The sequence below is a fragment of the Homo sapiens genome, chromosome 11 (assembly GCF_000001405.40).
Source record: "Homo sapiens chromosome 11, GRCh38.p14 Primary Assembly".
NCBI lineage: Eukaryota > Metazoa > Chordata > Mammalia > Primates > Hominidae > Homo > Homo sapiens.
In genome coordinates, this window is record NC_000011.10 from 43,402,324 (window position 1) to 43,424,790 (window position 22,467).

The 22,467-nt window shown below is 35.7% G+C and overlaps 1 protein-coding gene across 12 annotated transcripts in view; it reads left to right on the forward strand.

Moving 5' to 3' along the window:
* Positions 1-22,467, forward strand: part of TTC17 (tetratricopeptide repeat domain 17) — a 136,012-nt gene that overhangs the window by 43,404 nt on the left and 70,141 nt on the right. For all 12 annotated transcript variants that reach the window (NR_164823.1, NR_164824.1, NM_001376525.1 and 9 more), the window contains 6 exons: positions 1,675-1,821; positions 3,191-3,306; positions 3,463-3,628; positions 4,815-4,892; positions 5,030-5,254; positions 12,267-12,453. Coding sequence is in view for 10 of the 12 variants with exons in the window: in NM_001376525.1 (NP_001363454.1) it covers positions 1,675-1,821; positions 3,191-3,306; positions 3,463-3,628; positions 4,815-4,892; positions 5,030-5,254; positions 12,267-12,453 (919 nt within the window). In the remaining 2 variants the exon portion in view is untranslated. The remainder of the gene's footprint in view (positions 1-1,674; positions 1,822-3,190; positions 3,307-3,462; positions 3,629-4,814; positions 4,893-5,029; positions 5,255-12,266; positions 12,454-22,467) is intronic.

The window sequence follows — 22,467 nt, forward strand, 5'->3', positions numbered from 1 at the left end:
TTGCCTCAACCAATACCACCAACAAAATGCTCATTATCAACAGAAAATCTTTATTAAGCCCACTGCTAGGTGTGTACTTTCTCTCACTTTCTGTCGCTGTATATACACACGTGTATACACACACACATACACATATACAATCCTAATCTATCTAGTTGGGAAGAACTAACACATGTAATGATACCAGATAGTATATAATAGATGTTGAATAAGTGGTACAGACAGCAAGTACAGCCAGAATTCTGAGTATAAAAAAAAAAGATTCAAACTCTGAAACTTTTTGAGCACTGACATGATGCTCAAAAGAAATGATCATTGGAGCATTTTGGATTTCACATTTTTTGATTGGGATGCTTAACAGGTAAGTGTAATAAAATATTGCAAAATCCAAAAAAATCTCAAATCTGAAATACTCCTGATTAAGCATTTCAGAAAACTGATACTCAACCTGTATTAGAAATAAAACATTTATTCTATCTTAGAGAAAACTCATCATGTCTAATCGTAGATACAGAAATTTCCAGCAATAACTACTTAAGATAACTAAGAGATTAGGAGAGCATCTATAGGAGGACAAACCACAAAAACTTAGAACTCTTTAATCTGGAAAAATCCAGACTGCATTGGGAAAAAATAAGAGACAAAAATTAAGAAGCCATTTTAAAGGGGAAATAGTGATAGGGACCAAAAGCTTCCTATGAGTATTGTAAACCAGCTCCCAGCAATATCTCATGTTTGGTTTCCAAGGGAAAAAATAAAGAAGACCAGATTCACACCCTCTGGGATTATAGCTCTTTATCTTAAAACCAAGCATTTTAAAGGGAAGAAGGGGGATGTTTAGAAATGAAATAGATTGAAACCCAATACACCTTTTGGACTTTTTGATGGTCTCAAGACCGATCATTTGAAGGAGTGTAGCTTCCAATAGTCTATATTCATAAAATTGTATCACCACTATATAGTGAAAGAATCCATTCCTGTTCACAAAGACCTAGAGCTACAAATTCGTCATATTCATTCCTTTTCCTTTTGTCTTTCCTACCCCATCCCATCCCCAGTCCCATTCTCATTATCTAGCAAGGTTTCAGAAATACACAAGCATCTTTGTAAGTATATCCAACATTGTTCCACCTTGCTTTGAAGGAAGGCTGTATATGTTTGTGTTCTCTCATCTAGGTTACCCTTTCACCCTCAAAACTTTTCTTTGTAATTGATTGCACAACAGTCTGTAATCCTTAAGTGATAGTTATAGAACCCTTAAGAATACTTTCTTAAGTTCCCTCGCCTCTACCCACACACGGCACACCAATTTTAGAGTGGTGAGCATTTTAGTGTAGGAAGAAAAGGGGAATAATGAACCAGATTTCTCAATTAGCTAATTATTAACCTAAAGAGACTAAATCATAAAAATGAAGCAAAGGGACAGGAAAACGACCTATGCCATTTTTCTCATACTCCAATGGCAAAGTTATTGAAAGTTGTTAACTATGTATTATCCATGAAAGAATATCGTTGGGGCATAGTTCTTAAAAGATCCAATTGCTTTATTACTGAGCTACTTTCTGATTTTCTACTAATTTTGAATATTCACTCGCTTTTTTGGTGTGAGTTAAATTATAATCACAACTCCTTTTCCACTTTCAATTTGATTGAACTTTTTGTTTCATTTTCTAGTTTGGTGAGGATTCATCAACCTCCAGTATGATGTCTGTGAACTTTGATGTTCAATCAAATCAGAGTGATATCAATGATTCGGTCAAGTCTTCTCCCGTAGCCCATTCTATTCTCTGGATTTGGGGCAGGGACTCTGATGCATATAGGGTAAGTTAATAGAGGATGACGAAGCAGTTTTCTCAAACTGGCAAGATCCATTAAAGCAGTGGCCCTCAACCTCACTGATTAATATGGCCTCTATGACTGTTCAGATTAGTTCAGCAAACGTGTAGTACATTTCTATTAAATGGAAGCTATTCTGCTAGGTAGTGAATGAGTAAGATGCAATTTCTGCCTTGAGTTTTTCCCAGTCAAGTAGAGCAGATAGACACCCTGATTTCAGTTCAAAGCTTTATCCTCTGAGTATTATTACCAACCTTAACAAGTTTCTAAACTTGACCCAAGCGTATGTTTTTATATACTTCACTTAATCGGCATTCTTTTATTGAACTCCCACCTGTGTGCCAGGCTAATGCTGGCAGTATAATAGATAAGCCCCCTTGCTCTTCTGGAGCCTACATTCTGGTAGATGATACAGACAATAAACAAGTTAGTACATGTGCCTGTCTAGACTAGCTAAGAAAGAATTGTAGGTTAGCTGAGGCGGATACCAAGGTATGAGGACAGAGACTGTGTGCTTTTTATTCACCATTAAATTTTCAGAATTTAATCAAGGGTTTAACAGAATTAAACAGCCACTTAGATTTAATTATATTTAATATAAATCCCTCAAAGTTTGATAGCTTGAAGATTTAAGTTTAGTAAGCCTCTGGTACATCTTATTTATTTTTAGAGAAAATTAACATTTTACAAATCATAAAACAATTGTTAAACTTTGGCATTGGCAAAGAAAAGACCTTAGTTCAGGGAAAAGTAGTGTTCAATGCCAGGTTTTATAGGCTTATGTATGCTTTCAGGTACAAGTCATAAGCTCCACCTCAAATTAAATACAAAGAAAATGTGCCTGTTACTACAGGAAGTCCAGAAATAGGATAAACTTCAGGTTTGGTTGATTCAGTGGCCCAGTGATGTCATCAGTGACCCATTTCTTCTTTTTCTTTTTTTTTTTTTTTTTCTTCACTCTGCCATCCACAGTATTGGTTTCATCCAAAAGCTTGGTTTTTTTCATGGTCATGACAGCCAGCAGCAACTGGAACAACATGATTTTTTGTTCATATGTAACGTAAGAGCCTAAGACTTGCTTCTCTTTCCGAAAAGCCCCAAGCAAGCCTCTTCTTGTGTCTCACTGGCTCAACTGGCTTATACCCGCCCAACCCTGAACCAGTCTGTGGTAAAGCAGGTAGAATTACTGACTTAGATTAATAATCTGCAGTAGCAGGAATATTATAGAGTCTACCATAATCTTAAGATATTATAGTTTTGTTCAATTATTGTAGTATATCATTTTAAAAGTTTATTTAGCATATTGAAATATTGAATCCAAAGAAATTTATGAGAAATTTTGTTTCTTTATCAGGACAAACAGCATATTCTATGGCCTAAAAGAGCAGATTGTACAGAAAGCTACCCTAGAGTCCCTGTTGGTGGGGAATTGCCAACGTATTTTCTGCCTCCGGAAAACAAAGGACTCAGGCAAGTGGTGATGGATTTGGCAAAGCACCTGATTCTGCATGATTGTCATCTAGCGGTTCTTTGAGAGCACCAGCCTTGGACTTGAAAAGTTAAGTCTTTATCTTGAAGTCACCCAAACTTTGAAAATATGAATCTTGTTCCTTTTTCTTGTGCCAGGATCCACGAACTCAGCAGTGATGATTATTCTACAGAAGAAGAGGCCCAAACCCCTGACTGTTCCATAACTGACTTCAGAAAAAGCCACACTCTGTCCTACTTAGTCAAAGAATTAGAGGTTCGCATGGATCTGAAAGCCAAAATGCCAGATGACCATGCACGAAAAGTAAGGCTCACTTAGGCTGGTATTTATTGCCGTCCATTCTGGGTGACTTCAGAAGCCTCTTAAATGGAACAAAAAATTGATAGAAGGTAGCTGTTGAGCTTTAAGTGTATAAAATGGAAGGATAGAGTTAAAGAATTGGTGAAATGATGGCGAAGTCAGTCATGCTATTAAAGGAGTGCCAGAGAGTTCCTCGGGGCTGCTATACGTAGATCACCTAAACACTATTCCTCTAACGCAGAGCACTTCAAAGATGAGTAGCACAGAACTCTCTGTTATCTAATGGAGTTGGTGTAATGCAGGCCATTGCAACCACTAAAAGTTAGCTTTGCATCCTCCAGGCCTCCAGAAGTGTATATAAATTGAAAGCTTGAAGAATCTCTCTCTGGCCTTATCAACCCTGCTGTGACCTTATATGAGGTCCATAGGAATTTATATTAATTTGATAATGACTCTGCAAACATTAGAAGTTCAATTATGCTCTTTTCCTAAATTCCTATTAATTATATATAACTACGAGTGTTTTATTACTGTATATTACCATATTAGATATCATTCCATAGATAAAAATGAAAAAAAAAATTACCTTTTTAGCAATCACAGACCATCACAACCACCTTTTTTTTTTTAAGTTAATTTCAAAACTATAGGCACTTACTGTTACTTATATTCAATAGACATTTCCTTAGGCAAAAAACATTATGTGCCAGACATTGTTTTGGATGCTAGGAATACAAAAAGATAAACAGACCATGATCTGTGCCTTAGAGTTGTTTACCGTTATATAAATGCTGCAGGAACATGAAGTAGAATAATTGAGTATCTGGTATTTTCCAGGAAGGAAAGACAGTAGATTTTTATTACATCAGATATTGCATGCTGTTGTCTTTTGAATAATTTCTTCTTGGGTTCTGAACACTTAGGCTGACTTTAATGGGGTATGGTAGGTTACTTTAATGTGTGGGGGTATATATGTCTTTTTAACTTTTTAGTTAAACTATTACATACATGTGAGCAGGTCAACACCTGTTGGTATGTGAATGAATTTATGTCATATATATGATCATAAATATTTGTTCAAATTAGCTGTTCCTGAGGAGCTTAAGAAAAGACTGCCATCTATAGAAATTCTTTTCAAATGTCTTCCCTGTTATTTTCAATTGAGTCAGTCTTCCTTTTGATGTTTCAGATTTTGCTTTCCCGTATTAATAACTATACTATCCCAGAAGAAGAAATTGGGTCTTTCTTATTTCATGCTATTAATAAGGTGAGTCATTTACTTTAGACATCTAAAACTTAAATGCTTCTTAATTATAAGTAAAAGTTAAAATGCACTTATTAAAAATCTTATTTAGAACAAGTACTGTATTCTTGTACTAACTGAAGTATTTTTGGATTTTTCAGCCAAATGCTCCTATCTGGCTCATACTCAATGAAGCTGGACTATACTGGAGAGCAGTAGGAAATAGCACTTTTGCTATTGCCTGTCTTCAGAGGGCTTTGAATTTAGCTCCACTTCAATACCAAGATGTTCCTCTTGTCAACTTGGCCAACCTTTTGATTCATTACGGCCTTCATCTTGATGCCACTAAGCTGCTACTTCAAGCTTTGGCCATCAATAGCTCTGAGGTGAGGTTTTAAGGGATTTCATAGTTCCGTATACTATGTAGGGTAACTCAAATTTAGATTACAATTTGTATTTTTCTAGGGAAAGCATAAAAAATGTCATGTTTTGTCTTTCACAGTAGCGTTTGCATTATTTCAAGAGAGTGTGAAAAAGCTTTTGTTGTATTTTGATGTGTTCTTTAAATTTTGAGTGAAATTTATAATTACACAGTTAAGTTTTTTTTTTTTTGGAAACTTACATTTAAATAAGAATAACATAAGCTGTAAAAATATACTGCCGCTTTTTTATGTCTGTCTGAAACATCTGGTTTGTATTTTATCCTACTCATCACAGCATGCACACTGCTTAATATTACACTGTTTTACAACTTTAATTTATAGAAATATTTATACCCTTCAAGCCAGAGGACAGTTCAAAGGTGGTTTTGATAAGAATAAATAGATACATTGATTTTCATGCCCCAAACCTCTCACATGCAGCTTATGGAGTTACATCAGTGCTTTGTAGTTCATGGTTTTGAAGATACAACTTTGGTTTTTCATATTTTAACATCTCTGATATCAGGATGGATGTTATAATTGCTGTCATTTTAGGTTTCATGAAATTCAGTTATAATAAATATACAATTAAATTGATTTTATACCTAATGTCTAAATGTTTATAGGTTTTGTATTCAAAGAAACCTTCAGAAGGGATGTGCATGAATGGTTGAGGTTTATTTATGGTGTCTGAAAACTGATTTTTTAAGGATGAGAAGAAAATATTGCCTGTTTTCTTTTGAAATACAGAAATTCACAACTGGATTTTAAGCAGAAGTTTACAATCTCAATATTATGTAACAGGTCACATTGCCAGAGAAGTACATCAAATATTTATCTAGTGCTTACTGTGTACCAGGTGCTGGTACAGTGGGAACAGATGTGATAAAGTGGGCAATGGAAAGCGCAATGCAGCCGTATTCCCTTGAAACTTTTCATGATTCCCTTTTTACTGTTTTCAGCCAAGGGACTTAGGTAGTATTCTTCTGAAGAAAAAAGACCTCCTTTAGTGATCAGTTACCTTTTGATATTTTAAAATCATACTAAAATTTTAGTTGTTAAATACCATGGTGCTACAATAAGAATAAAAAGATAAATTAATGGATCAGGGTGGGTACCCCAAAAATATACCTTTTTTTTTTCTTTGAGACAGGTTCTTGCTCTGTTGCCCAGGCTGGAGTGCAGTGGCGTGGTCACGGCTCACTGCAGCCTCCACCTCCTAGGCTCAAGTAGTGCACCCACCTCAGCCTCCCTAGTAGCTGGGACTACAGGCATGCACCACTGCGTATGGCTGAATTTTGTATTTTTTTGTAGAGATGGGGTTTCACCATGTTGCCAAGGCTGGTCTTGAACACCCGAGCTCAAGCAATCCTCCCATCTCAGCCTCCAAAAGTGATGGGATTACAGGCATGCACCACCACACCCGGCCCCAAAAATGTTCCTTAATCAGCACCCTCTTCCCAACTTTTGGAAATTTTTCCTTATAAGCATGTCTTCTATACAAATATTTCATAATGTTTCAACTCTACTGTACAGGTGATCTCTAAAAAACTTATTCCTACCTAATTTTAAAGCCCTCAATTTAAATGGTTGTATAAAGGACCAATGAATTGATATGCCACAACCTATTTTTCTGTTGCTGCATATTTAGGTTGCTAACAGTACTTAGCTATTATCAATGATGGTTTTCTGCAAAGGCCTTAAAGATTGTTAGCAGTGGAATTACTAAGTCAATAAGAGAATGAATATTTTGATGGCTCTGGCACAAAATACCAAACAACCCACTAAAATGGTTGGGCCAGTATATATTGCCATGAATAAGGTCTAAAAATATTAATTCCACCTGTGTCTTTATTAGAATTGAACAACTGAAATAACTGCCAATTTTTTTGATTGTTTACTAGAGCCAGGCACAATACTAAGCATCTTACATGTAGTAACTAATTTAATCCTCATAACAACCCTGTGAGATGGAATTTCCCCTTTGATAGATGAGGAAACTCTTAAGAGTTAAATGTACAGAGTAAGGGATTTATGGGAAGTCACAGAGCTTGGTGCTTGGTTTTGAACTCAGGGAGATTGGCCACAGGGCAAATACTCTAGTCGTGTTATACTACCTCTGAATTAACATTTATAAAACAAGTTTCGCTTGCTTAAAAATACCACCTCTCCGTTGTAACGTAAAGTTTTATCTTGTGGTTGTTTTTGTTTTTCTTTTTTCCTTTTTTCTTTTCTTTTTTTTTTTTGAGACAAAATCTTGCTCTGTCACCCAGGCTGTAGTGCAGTGACATGATCTCAGCTCACTGCAAGCTTCGCCACCCAGGTTCAAGCTCTTCTCGTGCCTCAGACTCTGGAGTAGTTGGGATTTCAGGTGCATACCACCATGCCCGGCTAATTTTTGTACTTTTAGTAGAAACAGGGTTGTATTTTAATAGAAACATGTTGGCCAGGCTGGTCTCAAACTCCTGACCTCAAGTGATCCGCCCGCCTTGACCTCCCAAAGTGCTGGGATTACAGGTGTGAGCCCTTATGCCCAACCTTGTAATTGTATTTTTAAAGTAAAAGTTTGTATACACATTTTGTTCATTTTAGAATTTTGTTTTTTAGATTTTGTGCAAACCCTTTGTATGATAAACTCTTTAACTCCATCTCTCATGTGTTAAAAATATTTTCTCTCTTTGCCTTTTTATCTTAGCATTTAAAAATTGCCCTTAAGTTTGCCAGTCTTTTCAATGTTGATTTCTATTGTTAGATTTCAAGTGTTCTCAATAAACTGTTTGTTTTTGTTTTCTATGGCTTAATCTTTGAATAGTTGGCTCTCAAATATATAAAGATCTTTTCCTGTGACGTCTCCTGGATATTTTATAGTTTTAGGCTTTACAATTAGGTCTATGATTCATTTCAAGTTAAATTTTCTTTGTAGTGTGAGGTAGGGATCAAAGTTCATATTTACACGGATATCCAGTTCTTCAGCTTCATATCTTGAGAAGACTGCCCTTTTCCTGTTGAATTACCCGTCACCTTTGCCCTGAACTCCAGACTCCTTTATTCAACAGCTTACTTGACATTTCCACTTAGATGTCTAAAGGGCGCTCTAGAACAAAAGGCCAAAACCAAACTCCTTAACGCTGTTCCAAATTTATTCTTCCCAGTCTTCCTCATTTCAGGAAATAATAAAGCTATCTTTCCAGTTGCTCAGACCAAAAACTTAGGGGCTTCCTTCATACCTTTCTCCTGTTCTCAGGGAAAATTCAGTCCACTGGCTAACCTTGTTGATTCTGTTTTCAAAATATACCTCAGATTTTACTATTTATCATTGCTTCTACTGCTGTCCCATCCAAACCATAATTATTTTTGTCTGGATTATTTTAATAGCCTCTAGACTGGTTTCTCTGCTTCTGCCATTGTCCCCCAGTCTGTTCTCATACAGCAACAGTGAAATCCTTATAAAAAGTCAAATGTTGTTATTTGTTGGCTCAAAATCCCTGTAGTGGCTCTCCATAGAACTCACGGGAAAATACGAATTTGTAATGATGTAGAAGGTCCTACATGACCTTGTTACTTTTCTGACCTTATCTCTGTGAAGTCATTCCTTAGCACATTCTATTCTAGCCTCACTTGCCTCCTTGTAGTTCCTTGAACATACTAAGCATGCCCCTACCTCAGGTCTTTTGCATTTTCTATCCTCTCTGGTTGGAGTACTTCATCCCACCAATATTCTTCATTGCTTACTCCACCTCCTTGAAGTCTTATGAATACTAACTTCTCAGTAAGTCCCTCTCATACTACTCTGTTTTAAATGGTGCACTCCCCCCGCCCCCCACAATCTAGTGCTACCTTTATTTCTTCCTTCTATATTTTTCTCCGTCCCATTTTGCTCACTGACATCCCCACACTGGACTGTAAGGTCTATGAAGGCAGCAGTTACCTTTCTTATTTTCTGCTGTATCCTCAATGTTCAAAACTATGCCTGCAACATAGTAAATACTCACTACTTATTTTTTCGTTCAAGGGATGAAGTTCAACTTTTTTTCCAAAATGCTAACCAGTTTATCTCAATGCAGGATATTTTTACAGCTGTCATTTTGTCATAGGGATAATTATAACACTTTGTTTCCTTATGCAAAATATAAAGATACATTTGAAGTCTAAGTATGGGATTTAATTTTGTATCTGGGTGTGAATTACTAAGTAATAGTTTGAATGTAATCTGAGCTGCTTAGGTTAGACTTCCTTAATCTAGAATATTTTTTATCCTCTGGCTTGGTTACAGTGAGACATTTCTGATGATCTAACAGCCCCAGTCAAAAGCAGGTAATTGGATAAATCATAAGCATTGTTTTACATAGGGATATATTGTACAGTTTGAAAATAAAACATTCTTAGATCTTTTTAACTATTTTTAATAATAAAATAAATTTAAAACATATGGTTTGCACACAAGCAAATATAAAAACACTATAGATGTATTTCAGTTAAAATGACCTAAACTGAATACTTTGGGCTGCTTATGAAAACAAAGTCTCAGCAAACAATTGGAAAATAGCATACAAAGTACACTGTTTACAATAGCATCAAGAAAACATCAGATCTGCTGTGGTGGCTCACACCTGTGATCTCAGCACTTTGAGAGGCTAAGTGGGGAGGATCGCTTGAGCCTAGGAGCTCAGTACCAGCCTGGGCAACACAATGAGATCCACTCTCTACAAAAAAAGTCAAAAAAAATTAGCCAAGTGTGGTGGTATGCACCTGTACTCCTAGCTACTTGGGAAGCTGAGGTGGGAGGATCTCTTGAGCCCAGGAGTTCCAGACCAGCCTGGGCAACAGAATGAGACCTTGTCTCAAAAAAAGGAAATAAAGAAAACATCAGATTTCTAAGAATAAACCTAAAAGAAGATATACAATATTTATATACTGATTACAAGATATCACTAAGAGAAAGAAGACATAAGTACAGGTTGAGCATCCTAAATTCAAAAATCTGAAATCCCAAACATTCCAAAATTCAAAACTTTTTGAGCACCAACCTGACACTCAAGGGAAATGCTCATTGGAGCATTTTGGATTTTGGATTTTCAGATGGGGATGTACAGCCAGTAAATATAATAAAATATTCAAAGATGTTAAAAAATCTGAAATCCAAAACATTTCTGGTTCTAGGCATTTTGGATAAGGGATACTCAACTTGTAAAGGGAGATATACATCATGTTCACACATTGAGAGAGTCAATATTGTTCAGATGTAAGATCTCTGTAAATCAATTTATAGATTCAATTCAATCTCAGTCAAACACCTAGTAATTGCATATATGTGTTTGTGTATTGATAAGTTGATTCTAATATCTACATAGAACTGGACCTAGAATAGACACACACACACACACACACACACACACACACACACACACACACACAAATGGGGGCAGGGTGATGGGGAGGAACAGAGTTGGAAGGCTTTTATTACCAGATTTTGAGATTTACTATAATTAAAAGAGTATGGTATTGGTACAAAGATACTCAAACATAGCAATGGAACATAATAGGGAATTTAGAAGTAGACCACCATGAATATGGCCACTGGTTTATGACAAAGGGGTACCTGTAGTTCAGTGAGGAAAAAACATTTTGGTTTTTCAGTAAGTTAGTGCTAGAATAATTGGATGATATCCTTATGGAGAAAGATAAGAACTTTGACTTCTGCCTCACACCATACACAGGATTAATTTGAAGTGGATCATGTACCAAAATATGAAAGATAAAACAATAAGCCTTCTTTATGAAGACATAGGAGAAAGTCTTTATGACCTTGCAGTAGGCAAAGATGTCAAAAAGCACTAATTATAAAAGAAAAAAATGATAAGCTGAACTTCATTGAAATTAAGAAATTCTGTTTATCAAAAGATACTATTCAGAGAGTAAAAAAACAAACCATAGACAGAGAAGATTTTTGCAATAAATATTTTCAACAAAAGACTAATATATAATATAGACAGAGAGCTCCTTCAAGGCCTTAAGGGCAACCTAATTCCTTTAGATAGAGAAAAGAACAGGCACTTCAGAAATGAGGATATCCAAATGGCCAATAGGCACCTGAAAAAAAAAAAACCCTCAACATTATTACTCATCATGGAAATGCAAAGGAAAACCACAGTTAGACACCACTGCAGCTCACTAAAATAGCTAAAATTAAAAAGACTGACAATACAGAGTCTCTGAATTCTCACACTTGCTGGTAGGAGTGTAAATTTGTGCATCCATTTGGAAGACTATTTGGTTGTTATCTACTAAAACTAAATATAAATCTACCTTACAACCTGTGCTAAGTATATACTCAAAGAAAATGAGGACAATGTGCCTATCAAGACATTTACAAGAATATTCATAGTAACTTTATTCATAATAGACGAAAGTGGAAATAGCCCAACTGCTAATCGGATGAACAAGCTGTGGTGTATTCTTATGTTAGAACATTACACATCAGCTTAAAAAACAATGAGCTACTGATGTATACAGAAGCATGAATGAATTTTAGATTGAGTGAAAGAAGCTACAAAAGGACACATATTACATGTACTCATAGGAGAACATGCAGTTTGATTTCATTTACCTGAAGTTCAAGAACTATGATGACAGAAGTCACATCACAACAATGGTTACTTCTGGGGTTGGATTGCCCAAGGGAACCTCCTGGAGTACTGAAAACATTTTAGTATCTTGAGCAGTGTGGCGGTTACAGGGGTATATACATATATAATTTATATTACATACTTTATATATTTTTTATCTTAGCAAAAAAAGTGAACACATTTACATGTATTATACAGTTTAGAATTGGCTGGTATGAATAAAATGGATAGTTAGCAATAACGTTTATGGGGTAACCTAAAAAGAGCCAAAAGCCATATACTGTAAACGTTTTGTAACTCCCAGAAAATATTAGTTCATTAACATTTTGCCGATTTTTTTTTCTTTTCAGCCTCTGACCTTTTTGAGCCTGGGAAATGCTTACCTTGCTCTGAAGAATATCAGTGGGGCACTTGAGGCCTTTAGACAGGCCTTGAAATTAACCACCAAATGTCCAGAGTGTGAAAACAGCCTGAAGTTGATCCGCTGTATGCAGTTTTATCCTTTTCTGTACAACATCACTTCTTCTGTTTGCAGTGGTAAGCAGCTTTCAAATGCTGACAAACTAATGAGCTCAGCCAGAGTTCCTCTTCTGATCAAAAGAACACAGAAAATGATTTTCTCTATTTTACCCAAGGATTTTAGATAACCAGTATAATTCCAGATGCATAGGAAAAGATGTTAATTCCTTACTTACTATAGATGCCTTAGGGTATTAAGGCTTAATTCTCTCTTAGAACTCTGGTTAAGAAAGGCTAACTAAAATATGTGGTATATTCAACTGGGATGGATAGGCTTTGAGATTTTTTTCCTCCCTCCAAAATCTCTGGTGTTTTATAATAACTGACATTCCTAGTAAAGTACATTTTTTCTGTCCATGAAGTCAAAGTATACAGTTTTAATTGAAGCAGTTCTTCTATATACTCAGTCACTGAAATACAGCTCCTTGTCTTTCATTGAAGGTGATTCAGACCTTTACTCTACCTTTAATATAGTGACCCAACATTAAGTGGCATATTTTTCTCTTCTTCCACTCCCTCCCACAGCATATATATGGGCATATATGCCTGTGTATAGGTGTATCCACCTGGGTAAAGCTAATATCTAAAGCTGTTGCACTTTCGTTATTAGAACCTTCTTTCTAAGAATCACATGATATTTGGTTCTCTGTTTAACCTTCACTATAAGAAAAAATAAAATCGTGAATTTTAACTCTCTGCCTTGAATTGGGATGGGTGCAGTTTACATACGTGTGGATCCTCAGTATCTAGCCATTGTAGAGTGCACAGTGGGTGCTTTATTAATATTCAAATTAGGTTATAATATTTAATCAGATGGATATTAGTTCAGCTCCTTCACTTTTGATATTTAAAAACAAAATCCTGACATCCACTTATTTATGTGACTTGTGTAAAAGACATGAATAATTATTAGTAGATTTGGGACCAGAAAGTGGTTTTGTTGATTCGCTATACCAGACTGCCTTACAATTTTAATAGAGTGATAGACGGTAAGTAGTGCTTGCCTTTTAAATATCAAAGCCCAATTATTTACTGAAGAAACCAAGAATCTCCCAGCAATATACCTCTGTAGCTCAGTTGTGGGTCAGTGTTGATCACAATCTGAATTAAAGTTCTTTTATGAATGTCAAAGGCCCAAAACAGTATAGCAAGGCAATAGAGTGGAGTGGCTAGCACTAGAATCTTACAGATTCATGTTTGAGCTGCAGCTCTGCCATTACTTTCTTTTTTATTTTTAAATTTTTTATATTTATGGATACATAATAGTTGCATTGTTCTTACCATATAGTAGATACTGGCTAAAAGTAAGCCATTAGAAATTCATAGTGAATACAAGGTGCTCAGAACTTTAAAGGTGCAAATTGTGAATTTTTATCTTCTTAATCCTGGAAGATATGCTGTGGTCTTTTTTTGTTTGTTTGTTTTTAATTCTACTGCATCTTCTCGCAACACTGTGGTCTTTTAAATGTTGTAGGTTACCTAAGAACAGCCTTATAAAAAGGATTTTACTTTTTCAATGAGCTTTTTATATTAATAGAATCTCTTTTCTTAATTTACTATCATCTCCCTCAACTCTGTTGAAATTTATTTCTGTTTTTGAGAAGAAGCATTTTGTCACTGTATACATGTAGTGACCCTTTTCTAAAAAGTCTTCTCCTTAGCATTAATTTTACATGTTTTTATTTAGTATTTCAGTTTCTTGAAATATATTCTTAGTACATGTAACTCATGTCAAAAGAGGGAATACAGTTGTCTTGAACTTTTTCCCCAGAATGTAACCTCAACTGGTCCAGGAAACTAATAACTTGGAACAGATCTTTCTCAGAGTTGTAGTATCTGATAGTCCAGAGAATTCAGAGAATATTATTGGGTCCAATATAATAACAATAAGAGAAAATAACTTGACATGGAAACACAATTTTTTTTAATAATAGTTCTTTCAGAGGGAGCTCATCAATAAAAAATATTTAGTACCTTTTACATTGTAATTAATTAATTTACTAAATTTAGTTAGAATGTCTGCTCAAACTCACTAAGGCCACCAGAAGAAGTTACTTAATCCTGGAATATATTCTGTGGTCTTCTTGTTTTAAAAATTCTACTGCATCTTCTCAGAATGCTGTGATCTTTCAAATGTCATAGTTTACCTAAAAACAGCTAATAGTCTATTACTGCTGGTAGACTTAAAATCATTCTGATATGAATTAGAAAATAATCCAACATTTGCTAATACCTAAATAAATACTGTTACCTCCTAATGGATATGTATGCTATAGCATTTTCTAGGTTTAAAAATTCATTAGTAGTAGTGAAACAATTTCAATATTGTGTTTTTCTTTGACAATGATTTTGAGTTACTTATTTCCAGAGTAATCCCATTCATTCATAGTTACTTTGCTGACTTGTAGCTTTGAAAAGCTAAAACTTGAAAGAAGCCAAACACCTTTATAGAAACCAGGAACTTCTTATGCTTGAAATCTAAACAGTTGCATCTATTCCAGTTATCTCTGAGCTTTGCTAAATAATTGATTAAAAAAAAAGGAAAAACCTCTGAAGGATGATTAGGATTTCTTTACCTTTAGTGAAATCAGATGATTCTGTTTGCCGTTTCCTTTTTCATGTTTGCAATATTGAAGTAAGTTTTATAAGTTATCTTGTCTGACATCTGTTTCAAGTATTTATTATGACAATATAGAGGTTTCAAGAGAGTGACAAGGCTTACGATTCTTTTTCCATGTAATAGTCATGGAATTCATGAGATTGCTGGCTGGGTCACAGAATTCATGATAATTGTTGGCCAGGCATGGTGGCTCATGCCTGTAATCCCAGCACTTTGGGAGACCAAGGTAGGTGGATCACCTGGTGTCAGGAGTTCAAGACCAGCCTGGCCAACATGGTGAAACCCCATCTCTACTAAAAATACAATAATTAGCTGGGCGTGATAGCGGGCACCTGTAATCCCAGCTACTCGGGAGGCTGAGGCAGGAGAATCAGACTTGAAGTTCAGGCTTGAACCCAGGAGGCAGAGGTTGCGGTGAGCTGAGATTGTGCCACCGCACGATCCAGCCTGAGTGACAGAGCGAGACTCCGTCTCAAAAAAGAAAAATAAACAATTATTTTTACAGCAACTATAATATAGTAGAATGTCTTAAATAGTATGACCTGGTGGTAAAAGGATGGGCAGTTTAACATTAGCAAGTATTTTGTTATTTTTCATATATAATCATGGAATTTTTAATGCAGATTTTTAATTTGTGTTTCTTGGAATGCCTATGCAGGTAATGTATTGTATCACTTGTAAATACTGTTTTGTTCAACTTAAAAATACACAATCACTATGCTAAAAAAATTTTTTTGTACTTATAAAGACTTTATAGCTAAAACTGTATTGATTAATGAAGTATTATTTATCTGACAATGTTTTCAAACTTTTATTAACCTACAAATCAATGTATTGGCTGCCATTTGTTAGATTCATGTGTTCTTATAGCAGCTGTTTATCATCATCATCTCTCCCTCTTTTGAATAAAATTTCATAAATCCTGGTCTTTTATAGGTAGTTTTATATCACTACCATTTCAAGGATGCTGTGAAGAACTTAATACATTGATTTTTTTTACTTGCCCACTCTTGAATTGACTGTAAAAGTTAGTGCTTTCAGTTTCGATTAAACATCTTGTTTGGGCAGTTTTAAAATACCTACTGTTTTCCACATTTATAGGCTTGTCATTTTACAGTTTTATTTAACTTAAGCAGAACTGAATTGGTTACTGTAGCAAACTTATTCTTCAATAACAGCTTCGTCCTTTTAAAAGTAAAATAGAATCTGTTAAATAAACTTATAATGCTTTTGAATATAAGCAATGTCTATGAAGTGCTCAACACTTAAAAAAAACAGCCTTTTTTTATTGGAAAAAATAAAAGTGTCACAGAATGAAACTTTATGGAACAGTAAAGGTTATCTTCTCTAAAAAATGGAAAATAACTTTTAATAACAATATGAGCAAAATGATTAAATATTGAATCTGTAGAAAAGTCCAGAAATACATTGATGTGGCATTACAACATGATAGTGGACTTTCCAAGCATTTATTACCGTAAAATATTTTTGAAATACTAATCTGCAAATTAAAAAGTTACATCTAGCAAAGATATTTTCTACTACTAAAGTAATCTAGGCTGTCTTATATCTTTGATACATTCGATTTTACTTTATTTTTAATGGTCTATATTTATTATTTTTCTTATATTAGCATAAAACCAATAGGTTCTATGTATTAGAATTTTATGCCACAAACAGCAACTTCGCTGTTTACAGCATATAATTAAGCATTAAACCCAAGATTTCTGAGCTCTGGTCATTTCTTAATTAATTGAGGCACACGCCTACTTAAAAAAATTGGCCCAGATCCTTAGAAAGAATGAATAAATATTATGCAGAAGAACTCAGACTTTAATGTTTAGGTGTTCCTGTAATTGTCTGCAAGTTTCTCTGTCTAATACATATTTGATATCTTTTGTCTCTGGAACAAAAAGTAGAATTTTCAAATCATATACGTGAGATTTAATATCTATTCCAATGTGCAGATGGATTATCTTGTCTTCACAGTGTTTCTGTATTTATAGCATCTATTTATGTAAATCATATCTCCTTTTATAACTTGTTTCATTGCCTGTAGTTTTAGTCTGTGTTCTTCAACCTAAATTTTTGTAGATTTGTAACTTGCAGCTTAAAGCAATTTTACAGAGTTCAGATGTTGAAGAAAAAGAAATCCTGCACTTTGCTGCCCTCCAGTGGATTATCCAGCATATATACTGCCTGCAATGAAGGATCTTTGCTTTATCACATCCTTTTACATTCTTTTATAAGAATTAGTGAAGGTATCTGCTTTTTAAAAAAAGATATTCTTATAGACCCAATTTTAATAGTACTTTTTTTAGAGGCAGGGTCTCACTGTGTTGCCCAGGCTGGAGTGCAGTGGCTATTCACAGACTCTATCATAGCACACCATAGCTTCTAACTCCTGGCTCAGGCAATCCTCCCATCTCAGCCTCCCAAACAGTTGAGACTACAGGTGTGTACCACTGCACCTGACTCTTAAACAGCATTTTAAATATGCTACTAGTTAGGTCACCTCCATTTATTTCTGTAAAAAGAATTAAAACTGGTTGATGTATTGCAGATTTTAAAATCCTGAGATGCAGGTATATCCTGCAACAAAACCAGATGTACTTCTGTGTATGTAATGTGTCTAAATCTGTATATTTCTTTACTTAAAAGGGCTGTAGTTATTTGGTTAACAAACAGTTTTTTAACATGTATCTTTAACATGTATTTAACATGTGATAGAGGAGAGAATAGGAAAAAGAATTTTTGTATTTATGAACCTACAAGCAAAGATTGTGATTTACTCAAATTACAGTCAGTCTTTGGCGGAGCTGAAACTAAAAAGTGAGTCCTCTGTCTTCCAGGGCCAGTGTGGTTCCTGTGCATAATTCTTCTACCTTCAGCCAATCATAAATTATTCCACTGCCATGATTGAAAGATTGGAAGAATTCATATTTGTAGATACCTGGGACATTTTATAAAAATGGTATAATCACTACACTTTTTATGTCATCCCTCAAAAGAGATGCATTTCTACGTAAAACATGGATGTAAACTGGATTATAGGGTGCAGTCATAATGAACCCCAAGAGCATACCTAAAATGGTCTCTCAGTTTAACATGTCACCCTGATCTTTTCTGAATCTTGCATCATTAGATTGCCACATAGCCTTCTATTTTACGTGGAAGATGTTATGCCTGTACTTTTGTAGTATTAGCTTAGTAGACAGTATTTTTCTTTTGGGATTTCCAGCATTTAGCTTTTTTGAACAAAAGGGATACTTTTGGTTTTTATAAGAACTTAGAGACAGTATTATCAGATTCTGATGACCAATGGTTTTATACTTCAGCCTCTGAAAGACATTATATATAAATATTTGTTGGTTTTTAATGTGAATTTTTTGTCCTGCATGCCAAAAAAAATGTTTTATTTTAAAGAATGAGCCTATTAGCCCTTGCCTGAGATCTTTTCACAGCTATTCATCCAGTCATTATAGGTTGTTAGCCTTGCCAAATAATACTTAAGAAATATGAAATTTGATAGAGGATATAATCTTCTAAAGCAACAATTTGTTTTCTTTCAACCAAAGAAAACTGGGTGTGGTTTATTCTTCATTCATTCATTCATTCAATGAACACTTATCTACTATATGCCAGTCACTATTCTAGGAATTGGAAACCAAACAGAAAATACCTCCAGCTCTTACAGAGCTACATTCTAGTAGAGGGAAACAGAGAGTAGATAATAAACATAATAAATCATTTAATTAGAAAGTGAGTGCTCAAGGGGTTGGGGTCATTAAGGGAGGCCCCACTGAGAAAGTGACATTTGAACATAAGACTTGAGGAAGGATAGAGGTTCTAAGCCATGCAGATATACAGCATAAAAGCATTTCAGGCAGAGAGAATAGCATTGCAAATGTTCATGTTAGGAATAGCAAGGAGGGCTTTCCATCTGTGGTGGAGATGTAGGAGATGAAAGCAGAGATAAATATGGTGGAGGATAGAGCCACTTTTTTGATGCCTTGCAGACCATTCTAATAATGTGGGCTTTTCGTCTAAGAGAAAGATGTAAGACTAGGAACTGGGCAACACAGCAGGAGGTGAGTGGTGGGCCAGCAAGCAAAGCTTCACCTGCGTTTACAGTCAGTCCCCATCACTCGCATTACTGCCTGAGCTCCACCTTCTGTCAGATCAGTGGTGGCATTAGATTCTCATAGGAGCATGAACCTATTGTAAACTATGCATGCACGGGATCTAGGTTACACGATCCTTATGAGAATCTAAAGCCTGATGATCTGTCACTGTCTCCCATCACACCCAGATGGGACCATTTAGTTGCAGGAAAATAAGCTCAGGGCTCCCACTGATTCTACATTGTGGTGAGTTGTATAATAATTTCATCATATGTTATAATGTAATAACGAAGTGCACAAAACATGTAATGTGCTCGAATTATGCCAAAACCCCATCCCCACCCACCCCCCAGTCTTTGGAAAAGTTGTCTTCTACGAAAGCAGCCCCTGGTGACAAAAAGGTTGGGGACTGCTGACTTGGAAGATTTTGAACACAAGAGTGAAATGAACTGATTTACATCTTAACATAATTCCTCTGGTTGCTCTGTTGAGAATAGACTAGTGGGGTAAGAGCGGAAGCATGAAGACCTGTTAGGATGCTATTGCAAAAATATCAGTGAGAGATGATATTGGCCTGTACCACTGGGGTGGACAGGGAGAAAGTGAGAAATGATCCTATTTGGAATATATTTTGAAGGTAGAACCAAAAAGACACTCCTAGAAAGGGATATGGGAAATGAAAGAAAGAGAGGTCAAGGGTGACTCTTAAATTTGGAACCTGAGCAATCAGGTAAATAGTGGTGCTATTTAATGAGATACTCAGGTCTGAGAAAGGAGCAGATTTGGGGAGAAAAACAAGTTTGGTTTTGGACATGTTAAATTTGAGTTGCCTATTAAGTGTTCAAGTAGAGATGTTGAATAGGTAGTTGGATACATGAGTGTTATAATGATGGGGAAGAGACCAGGCTAGAGATAATAATTTATGGGTCATGGACGTATGTATTTTCTAAGTCATTAGCTTGGATGAAATTACCTCAATAATTACTATAAAAAGGAAAATGGGTCAAAAATCAGTTACTAGGGTATTCTAGCCAACATTTAAAGGTCAGGAAGAAAAAGAGCAATAAAGGAGTAGCCAGTAAGCTAGTAGAAAAACCATTGAAGTATTTTATCCCACAAGCCAAGTGAAGAAAATGTTTTAAGGGGTTATCAAGCATATCATTATTATTGTACCAGCATGCTATATCCTGAGAGATTGAGCTGGATGTGGGCAGAGAATGAACCACTGGATTTAGTAACATGGAGATTGTTGGTAATCTTGTAAAAGCTTGTGTGAAATCGGTTTTGAAAGGAGGTGAGGAAGTGAGGATGGCAAGCAACTCTTAAGTTTTGCTATAGTGAAGAGCAGGAAAATGGGATATAGCTGGAGGGGCCTGTGGGGTTGAAGGTATTTGTTTTTGTTATTCTAAAAATAGAAAGCCCTGCAGCATGTTTCAGTAGGAATGATCCAGCAAAGTGGGAAAAATTGAAGATGCAGCTTAGGGCTAACTGTAGAAGCAGAATTCTTGAGTAGACAGGAGGGGATGAAATCTAAGGCACAAATGTAAGAGTAGTCCTTAGGAACAAGGATGATATATAAGTAAAGTTGTAGGTATGTTGAAAGATGTGATGGTGGGACTTCTGGTTGCTTCTCAGCAACATATTAGGTGACTTGTCAGATGAGAGTGAAGAGGTACAGAGAATGTTGGAGATTTGATGAGAGAGGAAAGGCTGAAAACAGTTGTCTCAGAATGCGAATTAACTAGAGAGGTTTCTAACTTTGGTAACTGGATAGACGTCAATGTTGTTAAGAATGGGAATACAGAGGAGAAATCATCTATGCATTGATGTGCTGGGAATAGCAAGTTCAGTGATAGACATGTTCATTTGGAGATGCCTCTGATTCCCTCAGAATGTGCAGGATGTGAAGAAAACGCCAAGAATGGAATCTTAGAAAATACTAACATTTAAGGAACAGAGTCAGGAAAGAGTGCGTAAATAGAGGCACTGGAAGAGCAGGGTCATGAAGTTTAGAAGAACAGAGAGTTTGAGAGGGACAAAGAGGACAATAGTAGTGTGTCCTGAATTGATTCATTTGCAAGCTTTTAGTTGGTATTTTAATTTTAATATTTATGGTTTATTTTGATGAGCATTAGAAAATATATTTAGCTGGTACATAAAACCTCTGATTTATGAAAAATGATAATGATTTTCCCTTTTAACCTAAATTAGTGTAAGATTAGACTTTAGATTCATTAAAGAAAAACATTATGTTAAGTAATGATACTGCTAGCTATGGAAAAATCATGATAGTAATTGGTAAATGAATAAACTGTGGGAAGCTCTGGGTTTAACAGTTTAGAAATCATTGGTGACTTCATTTTATCAAAAGCATTTTCTATAAAATGAGGAAATAGCTACACTAAAACAACATTAATAAATTTTAGAATAATGAAAGTATTAAAGTGAGCTCTCTATATATAATTGAATTACTTTTAGAGCTATTAGATATAGTTTCTAAAATATAGCTCATTTTATCCTGTTACTTAGTGACTAAAATAACTTTAAAGCAAATAGGAGATGAAACCAATAATCATTCTTTTTCCTTTTTTTTTTTTTTTCCTGAGGCGGAGTCTCGCTCGCTCTTGTCGCCCAGGCTAGAGTGCAGTGGCTCTGTCTCGGCTCACTGCCATCTCCGCCTCCCTGGTTCAAGCAATTATCTTGCCTCAGCCACCCCAGTAGCTGGAAATACAGGTGCCCACCACCATGCCTGGCTAATTTTTTGTATTTTTGGTAGAGACGGGGTTTCGCCATGATGGCCAGACTGGTCTCAAACTCCTGACCTCAGGTGATCCACCTGCCTCAGCCTTCCAAAGTGCTGGGATTATAGGTGTGAGCCACTGTGCCCGGCCAAGAATCATTCTTTAAAAAACATGTAATAATAATAGAACACAAATGAGGAAAGCTTTCTTTAAAAACTTCATTTGTTAGAAACATGAAAAGGTGGCTGGGCATGGTGGCTTCACGCCTGTAACCCCAGCACTTTGGGAGGCCGAGGCAGGCGGATCCCCTGAGGTCAGGAGTTCAAGACCAGCCTGACCAACATGGCGAAACCCCATCTTTACTAAAAATACAAAAATCAGCTGGGTGTGGTGGTGCATGCCTGTAATCCCAGCTACTGGGAAGGCTGAGGCAGGAGAATTGCTTGAACCCGGGAGGTGGAGGTTGCAGTGAGCTGAGATTGCATCATCGTACTCCAGCCTGGGCAAGAGAGACTCCATCTAAAAAAAGAAACATGAAAAGTTAATT